Source organism: Homo sapiens, chromosome 11 (assembly GCF_000001405.40).
Source record: "Homo sapiens chromosome 11, GRCh38.p14 Primary Assembly".
NCBI lineage: Eukaryota > Metazoa > Chordata > Mammalia > Primates > Hominidae > Homo > Homo sapiens.
The window spans coordinates 68,995,180-69,004,373 of NC_000011.10; the positions used below are offsets into that span (position 1 = coordinate 68,995,180).

At 54.5% G+C, this 9,194-nt stretch overlaps 2 annotated features.

Annotated features, from left to right (window-relative positions):
- Positions 7,231 to 7,731: an enhancer, noted in NCBI's record as "H3K4me1 hESC enhancer chr11:68769878-68770378 (GRCh37/hg19 assembly coordinates)". NCBI's record gives its function as "activates a minimal SCP1, AML or CMV promoter by ChIP-STARR-seq in naive H9 embryonic stem cells {active_cell/tissue: H9 hESC(naive)}" and the evidence as "EXISTENCE:reporter gene assay evidence [ECO:0000049][PMID:30033119]".
- Positions 8,692 to 9,193: an enhancer, noted in NCBI's record as "H3K4me1 hESC enhancer chr11:68771339-68771840 (GRCh37/hg19 assembly coordinates)". NCBI's record gives its function as "activates a minimal SCP1, AML or CMV promoter by ChIP-STARR-seq in primed H9 embryonic stem cells {active_cell/tissue: H9 hESC(primed)}" and the evidence as "EXISTENCE:reporter gene assay evidence [ECO:0000049][PMID:30033119]".

The following is a 9,194-nucleotide window of genomic DNA, read 5'->3' on the forward strand; positions in this document are numbered from 1 at the left end:
TCAGATTTTTTTTTTTTTTTTTTTTTTTTTTGTGATGGAGTCTCTCTCTCTTGCCCAGGCTGGAGTGCAGTGGCTTGATCTTGGCTCACTACAAGCTCTGCCTCCTGGGTTCACGCCATTCTCCTGCCTCAGATTCCCAAGTAGCTGGGACTACAGGCGCCTGCCACCACATCTGGCTAATTTTTTTGTATTTTTAGTAGAGACAGGGTTTCACCGTGTTAGCCAGGATGGTCTCGATCTCCTGACCTCGTGATCTGCCCGCCTCCACCTCCCAAAGTGCTGGGGTTACAGGTGTGAGCCACCGCGCCCAGACAATATTTCAGATTTTTAAAGTATTTTCTTTTTTCCTTTTTGAGATGGAGTCTTGCCCTGTTGCCCAGGCCAGAGTGCAGTGGCGTGATCTTGGCTCACTGCCACCTCTGCCTCCTGGGTTCAAGTGATCCTCATGCCTCAGCCTCCCGAGTAGCTGGGATTACAGGCGTCTGCCACCACCTGGCTAATTTTTATATTTTTAGTAGAGACGGAGTTTCACCATGTTGGCCAGGCTGGTCTCAAACTCCTGACCTCAGGTGATCCGCCCACCTCGGCTTCCCAAAGTGCTGGGATTACAGGCGTGAGCCACCACGCCTGGCCTTTAAAAGTATTTTCTATTTCCACTGCCTTATGGCCAATAATGGAGCCTGATTTTTAGAATGTGTTGAGGAGTGTGAGTGTGTGTGTGTGTGTGTGTGTGTGTGTGTGTGTGTGTGTGTTGGGGAAGGCACTAGGTTGGAAACTGTCCTCTCATATTCAATGTCAAGTAAGTTTTCCAATAGAGAATCTCTCATGTTAACTTTTAGGATTCCTGTCCTCAAAAGCCTTGCTTGACCTTTTGTCCATGCCACTGAAGACACAAAAATGTGTTCTTTCCCACGGCTAGTATGACGTTGTCCCTTTCTCCCTGTGCCTTAAACATCTTTAAAAACGACACAGATAAGATGCAAAGATTCTTATTTTGAAAGCTTCCAATGCTAAAGAAGAAAGAAGGTCTACCCTTGTCTTCACCCCCAGGTATCACTATAAATCCTTGAAGATTTTTTTTTCTGTGCATTTACCTATCAATATATGTTTTTTACATAAATGAAAATATAGGGCCTGGTTGTCTCGTAAGCTTGCTTTCTCAAAAACAAACTATGTCTTCTTGAATTTAGCTTGTCCGACGCTTCTCCGTGCTGTGCTGCACACTGAGGTGGCAGGTCCCAGGGTTGGTGACATGAGCTCATCCGCGCTTTGAATGTTTTTGAGGTGGGTTTCATTATTTCTGCTTTATTTGGGCTCAGAGAAGCTGAGACACTTGCTGGGCTACCTGGCTACCCTGGCCGAACAGGAACTCCCCCAACGTCCCACGGGGTGCAAAGCATCGCTTCTGTCCCCCACGCTCTCCTGCCTTCACCCAGATTGCAAAAAACAGGCCTCTCACCTGTCTTGGATGCAGTGTGTGGTCCCTCGGTGAAGGTGGCTGGTGCCTGCCCACTCCAGTGCTGGAGGCCTCAGCAGCCACCTAGGCCCAGGCCCCTGAGCCGCTCGCCCTGTTCTGGCTCTGGCCTGAGCTGCCTGCTTCTCTCCCGCTGGGCAGGGCTGCCCCCAGGCTCAGAGGAGCCTGTCCCCAGGATCCCCTGATGATCTTCGCTAGGTTCCCTCTGAGCAGTGGGAAGCCGGGCCTGAGGTATAAATGCAGGATGGGTGCCGGCCCCGCCTGCCAGGGCCTCTGCACGTGGGTACCGCGGTGCTGGCCCAGAAGAGCCAGCTGAAGTCTAATGGACCTGAGCATGAACCCCCGGCCCCCACAGGAGACAGCTTGGCGGCAGTGAAATGGAGGATGAGGCTGGGGCCTTCAAGGAAAGGTGATACCTCCCTTCCTGAATGCCACCAGGGATGGCCGAGGAGACCTCACAGCATTAGTGAGACCCACCGTGGGGGGTTCAGGTGAAGCCATGGAGGAAATGGGGGTTCTTGTGGGCTGGGAAAGGCTATTACAGCCACCCCCAACTGCCTGCCTGGGGAGATGCTCTGGCTAATGGACTCACTAAGGATGCTGCCTACGGAGGGATGGGGAGGAAGAAGAGCTGGGCCCGGAGCCCAGGATCTTATTTCCAGTCTGAGTTCCACTGCTTGTGAGTTGGGGAACCACACCATTCAGGTGACGTCTCTGAGCCTCAAAGTCCTCACCAAAATGCCTGTAGTCCCTCAGGGCCTCCCTCAATTCCTAGAAAGAAGGGGAGCTCACACACATGCCACACAGGCAGATGGTAGAGCAGCCCTTTCCCCCACACCGGCCGAGGCCCCCTTCCTGCCTGGCGAGGGAAGAGTTCTGATGTGTCAGTCCCCTCAAGGGCAGGATGGAGGCCGGCATCTTATCCGTGTCACCTGCCCTGTGAGGGTGCTGGCCTGGAGCAGGTGCCGGGTGGGCCGTATGGGTGGTGCAGCGGATGGCTGAGTCTCTAGGACGGTCCCCGAGCTAGCATGGTGTTCATTCTCACTGTCCCGCCCTGCAGCGGAAGGAGGTATAGGCATGGGAGATGCTGGGCATCTGCTTTGAACAAATGTGCATGAGGAAAGAAAAAGCGGGGACCCCAGACGTTAAGGCTGATCACAGAAGTAACCCTAGGCAACTGACTTGGGGGACAGTCTTAGGGGTGTGGGCGGTGCTGACTCTGCAGTGACAGTGAGGACTTCCCTGGCCTCTTTATTCTGGGTTTGCTGTGCTGGACCTATGGTGCCTGTCTCTTCTCCAGGAGGGGAGATCCTGCCTGAGAATGGGCCAAGACCCAAGAGACAGAGACAGGCTGCTCAGAAAGACATAAGCTTCCAGAAGGTGGCAGTTCTCACATTTTTTGTGCCTTCTGTGCCTAGAACATTGCCTGGCATGTAGAGATGCTCACATTTCTTGACTAATTGCTAGTTGATTGACAGAGTCCCCAGATCCAGGCACCTGGATCCAGCTGTTCTTGAAGCCCATCTTTGCCTGGACTTTTTAGTAATAGGAGCCAGTGCATTCTGTGTGTGTGTGTGTGTGTGTGTGTGTGTGTGTTTCAATGGGGTTTTTGTCATTTGCAACAAAGATTCCTGACCAGTGGAGAAACTAATACCTGAAAGAGGCAAAGAGGCTTGTTGCAAATACCTGCCTTTACATATGCAATTGGCTGGGTCCTGGTGGGATGACACCGTGAGGTTGGTAAAGCCCCACTTTCTGTGTTGGGCCACACGTGTCAGGAGGCAGCTCAGCTCTGCTTCCCCAGGCCTTTAAAGAACATGTGACATCAGGAGTGGTCCCTGCAGATGTCTTATCTGAAGCCTCCCTCCGGGAAGAATCTGCTTTCAAGTTCATGTGGTTGTTGACCGGGCTCGTTTCTTTGCCGGCTGCCAGGCTGGGAGCCTCTGTTTATTGCTGGCTGTTGGCCAAAAGCTGCCTTCAATGGCTTGCCACAGGGGCCTCTCTAATATGTCAGCTCACAACACGGCAGCTGGCTTCATTGAAGCCAGCAAGGGAGAGAGTCTGCTAGCAAGATGCAAGTCACAGTGCTGTGCAGCCTAATCAGCTTTGCTGTGTTCCATCGGTTAGAAGCAAGCCACTTGGTACAGCCCATGTGCACAGGGAGGGGATGACACGAGGGTGAGACGGCATTGCTGGGGGCTGTCTTGGATTCTGGCCGCCACATCGGTGGGCTGACCAAGACCCCCGTTGCGCTGCTGGTTTCCTGCCTAGCACAGAATATGCCACAGACCAACAACCACCACGTGTTTTTGTTCTTTCCTTTTCCTTTCCAAGTGGGAATTCTAAAAAAAAATTATTGTTATTTCCTTTTTCCTTTCCATTGCGTGTTGTGTGTCTGGAGAGTGACCATCATTTGGCCAAAGGGCACTGTTGTGGCCTGAACGGGGTCTCCCCAAAATTTGTATGTTGAACCCTCAAACCCCCTGTACCTTAGAATGTAACCATATTTGGAGAAAGGGTCTTTAAAGGGTTAATGAAGTTAAGATGAGGTCACTAGGATGGTCCCTGAATCCAGTGTGATTGGAGTCCTGATAAGAGGAGGTGAGGACACAGACAGGCACAGAGGGACCACCCTGTGAGGACACAGGGAGAAGGTGGCCGTCTGCAAGCCAAGGAGAGAGGCCTCAGGAGGAACCAGCCCTGCCACACCTTGATTTTGGATTTCTGGACTCTAGGACTGAGAGAAAGAAAATTTCTATTGTTTAAGTGCTCCCACCAGTCTGTGGTATTGGTGAATGGGTGATAGCATCCCCAGAAAGTACTACAAGTACCTTTCAAAGAGGAGGTGTTTGTGGCTCTGACGGAGGGTGGCGTGAGTAACACCCAGGGTGTGGGCTCGGAGCTGGGGAGGCAGGCCCTGCGGTTGACTTTGGTCATCTCTCTTCTGTGGGGAAGGCAGGCATTTTATGTTGTAAATTATACAGCTACAGATTTTGGCTGGGAGCATTTAAAAATCATACTTAGGAAAGAAGTGGGCACGTAGAGGGTGGACTGAGGGGAGGAACGTGGCCAACACCTGCTGTTTGCCTGCCAGTTTGTTTGTTTGTTTGTTTATTTATTTATCGAGACAGAGTCTCACTCTGTCGCCCAGGCTGGTGTGCAGTGGTGTGATCTCAGCTCACTGCAACCTCTGTCTCTCAGGTTCAAGTGATTCTCCTGCCTCAGCCTCCCGAGTAGCGGGGATTACAGGCACCTGCCACCACGCCTGGCTAATTTTTGTATTTTTAGCAGAGACGGGGTTTTGCCATATTGGCCAGTCTGGTCTCGAACTCCTGACCTTAAGTGATCCACCCACCTTGGCCTCCCAGAATACTGGGATTACAGACATGAGCCACTGCACCCGGCCATGCTTGCCAGTTTTACCTTGGGCGCACCTCTTCCCTGTTTTCAGTCCACTGGGCTAAGGTGGGGTGACTGTCACCCCCTGTCCCCCATCCCTGCCTCCAGCTCCTGGGAGGGTGTGTGCCCCTGGCCTGGCCAGTGCACTTGATATCAGGACTTAAGCTAGAATCTCCAGGAAGGGCGTGCTCTTTCTGCTGGGATTGCAGAATTTGTAGAAGATAAACCGAGAACTGCCGCTTACCTGCCATTTAGTTTTTCCATTGAGAATAAATAGAACACAGACCAAAACAGGGATGAAAACAGGGAAAAGAGAAGTGGCCTAGCGAACATCATCTGCGGCCCTGGATCCAGCTGTGTCTGAAGCCAGAATCACTTCTGGAACTTTCTGGGTATGTGAGTTAGTAAACTCCCTTAAATACACACATACCTCCCATGTACCCCAGATGCCAAAGCTAGATTAACCCGGGGTTTCTGTTACTTGCCACCAAGCACCCTGTCTGATATGGTGTAAAAGTCTGCCTGGGACACTAATCTACAGTGGCATAAAAGCAGAGATGGATGGTCCACCCAGGTCGGGGCAGGGCTGTGCCCAAGGCTGGACCTACTGCCCAGTGGTGCCAGGGAACTTTGGGGGGATGATGGAAGCGATTCTTCCGCAGGGATAGAAACATTCTGATGACATGGGCACATAAACATTTGTCCAAGATAATTAAACTGGATATTAAATGGGTCAGTTTTATTTTATGTAAATTAGGTCTCAATTCAATTTATTAAAAAGATGTTTAAAAAAATCTGCCTGAGCGGGGGAGCCTCCTCTTGCATGCCAGGAAACTTGGCGCTGGCACTCTGACTCACCCGCGCAGAGTTTTCCATGAGTTTTGATTTTGTGAACTGTGCCCTGTTGTTTTCAAGTTCTCCAGCTGTCAAGCCCCTACTGGCTTAAAAGGGAATGTTTTGCACTTGTACTCTCAGTGGTTTTAGTTTGGGAGGATCTCTGCAATGTGTTTGCCCAGCTTTTTGGCCTTGTCACCAGCCCGTCGAAGGGCACATTTCCCAGGCCTGGTCATCTCCCTGTATGCCGAGGGGCCGGACCACATGTGGACCCTCATTTCCCTGCCCTACCTTCTAGATGAGGCCCTGGTTCTTGGGGAGGAAGGATGGTCCTAGCTGAGGATTCCAAGCCAAGCTGTGCAGATGTGAAAAGATCCTGGGGGCTTAAAAATCCTGGCATAAAATATAAAATTCAAGTTATCTGAAAATGACAACTGGCAGGGGATCCGGGAAAGCTGGGTGGATGCCAGAAAGGCATTCCGTTTTCCTTTTGTGAAGACAGGAGACAGAGACGGGAGAGGCGTCGGCGTTCAGGCCGTTTGCTGAGTGTCCGCTGAGCACCTTGTTCCCAGTCCCCGCTTTGATTCAGACGCCCACAGCCTGAAACTGAGCTGTTTCCTCCATTGGTCTCCACAGAGTGTGGATAGGTCTCGATGGCCCGTCTGGGTTATCCTAGGGCTGTGATGGGCATGTCCAGGCCACTCCGTGCATCTGCCCGGAACCCCAGTGTCCAGTGCTTTGCAGATGGGAGATGGAAGGTCAGAGACCTGAGCCTCCAGGGCAACAGGAGGGCCACTGTGGGGAGTCCCTGGATGGTGATGTAGGCCTCCAGCCAGGGCCGTCCACCAGCGCGACTGACCTTGGATGAGAAACTCCATTCATGAGCCCCCACTTCCACAGCTGGGGCTGACAGTATGGGCCATGTAGCCCTGCATGGACAGTCAACAGAAAACCTACGTGCAGCTCTTGGCCAGCACCCACTGCCCATAGTATGTCCGCAAACAGCAGATTGGTGCTGGGGACAAACCACTCACAGGCACATCCCTTCTGCAGTGGCCATTCTGCTCCCTGCCCTGAACGCCCGACCAGGGCAATCAGGCACACCGGCTGCCACCCCAGGCCACTGCACCAACTCCTGGAGGTCGGTGCTGTAGCTGACTTATCCAAGGAAAGTGAGGCACAGCAAGACTGAGGTCCCATGGCTTATAGGTGGCAGCCCTCTGCCTCCCTGAGGCTTGCTCTTGACTTTCCAAATTTGGCCTTGCTTATCCCTTGCATAATCTAAAAGAGCAGCTTATTTTTATAGAAATAGTGGGTGGCAGACAGCACGGAAAAGTGGAGAGTTCTGCCCTGCCTGATGCCCCACCCCTGCCCCTTCACCCCACCCTTCCCACATACCACATGGTTGTTACTAAGTCGGCTTTGTAACAACCAGGGCAGCCCAGATGCTCTGGTCCCATGCCCCACTCTCCATTCTGTGACCTGCTGTGGATCCTTTTCCCAGAGCTGTGGGATGGAAATCTCCCCCGCAGCCCTCAGCTCCTCCCAAGCCCACTTTAATAATTAAATACCAAAGGAAGGAGGAGGAAAGTGGAGGAGAGCGGGCAGTTCCCGCTCATCTCATCATCTGTGCAGTCTCCCTCCATTAGCACAGAGAGCGAGGTGGTCCAGGGAGGTGTGGGAATCCTGGGGCTTTGCGGGGGGATGGAGGGGAAGAAAGCTTGTTCCCTAGCAAGACTGCAAACACCTGCACCTGAGAAGGGCCACGGGTTGGGGGAGGCCTAGTTCCTGGGGTTCACCTCTGCCCCTCCCGCCTTAGGATCCATCAGGGCAGATGCCTCCTCCTAGAGTCGGACCCAGCCTATTCCTGACCTCCAGGCCCTGCTACTGCGTGAGGCTGTCCACCCCCTCACCGGCCCTGGCTCTGAGCTGTTGCAGCAGCATCCAGGCAGGGAGGCCCCTTCCTTCTAGGTCAGCAGCTCCCCACGAGGACTCAGGGCTGGAGTCCTGGGGTGGGGACTCCTAAGGAAGAGATGAATTCCCAGGAACTGGGATGCTCTGGGCCCTGAGGAGGAGCCAGGACCCCAGATGGACCCCCCACCCAGCTGCCTTCAGGAGAGGGACGTGCTTCTGCCCACTTGTGTAGCTAGGATGCCCGTGCTGGTGGGAGCTTTCGCCACTGGACGAGGTCCTAGCCCTGCCTCCTGGTGTGTCTGCTCAAGGCCCCACCTGGCTTCTCTGAGTCGCTGGAAATGACCTGTTGGACATGGTGGTCTCCAGCTCTGCTCTTCTGGGATCCTCTGACCAGCGCTGGGGAGGGTGGGACTTGGAGGATGGCAGAGCTCGTTCTGGGCACTGGGAGGGAGCGGGTGGGGACATGCAACCTTCATCACCTAGAGGTCCTGGAACTACGACATCTGGGCCACATGAGATCCCCTCTTTTCCTAGAGCGGTGGTCTTGCTGAGAGGACCTGACCAGGATTGTTAGAAAGGGGAGCATGGAGGAGCAGTGGGCTGAGGAGCAGGGGCAGGAGGGCAGTGGAGGTCAGGTTGGCCGGGCAGTGGATCATCAGGGACACAGAACTGGGGGGTCAGCCCACTGAGGGCTGGACCACTTCACCAGGGGCAGGCTGAGCAGGCTCCAGGGCCTGCAGTTAGAAGGCCACGTTCCAGGTGGCTGGGTGCGTGAACCTGGTGGTACTGCCCACGCCTCTACTCATTCCCACCTGGAGCTCGGAGTGCTGCCCGCCTGCCTGCTCCTGGCTCTGCTCTGCAGACGAGGGGCCCAACTCTGTCAGCCACGTTTCCTGACTGGGGGCACCAACACCTCTGCCATGATCTCTCTCCATGGGACCATGGGGTGAGCAGGCTTGCCTTAAGGCTTGTCTCAAAGGAGCCAGGGTCCTAGGTTGCACACCAGGAACCCAGGATGGGGCCCTTCTGGGGGCTGACCAGAGGCAAAAGGGCCAGGCAGGAACCCTTCTAGCGTGGCGCTGGCTGGGCTGTCATCTTGGGAGGGCTCCCAGCCTATCGCTGGGTTGTAGAGAGATGTCTGGGCACTGGGAGGCTGGCTCAGGGATCTCAAGACAGAGAGGGGCATCCTGAACGGGGGCAACAGGAGGAGAGGCAGCAATCCACTCCACGGAGCCTCCGGTGGACACAGGCAGGACCATGGTGGCCGGCCCAGAGCCTGGCATGGAGGAGGTGAGAGCTGTGGCTCCCAGAGGCCGTGGGGGCCTCCGAGCTGAGAAGGGGCACTGGGATACGCCGGCACAGGACAGCCTGGCTGACCACGGCTCCCTCTGGCAGGGAGTGGACAAGCCACAGGAGCGGGAACACGGGTGTGTGCAGACCCAGCCCCAGGAGGAGGCCTGAGAGCAGAGGCAAAGAGCAAAGTGTGCGGGAGAGCTGGCGGGGGGTGCCACCCGTCCCGGGACTCTGTGCCCTTGGGCGTCCTCACTGTCGGAAACAGAGACCCAGGGTAGGA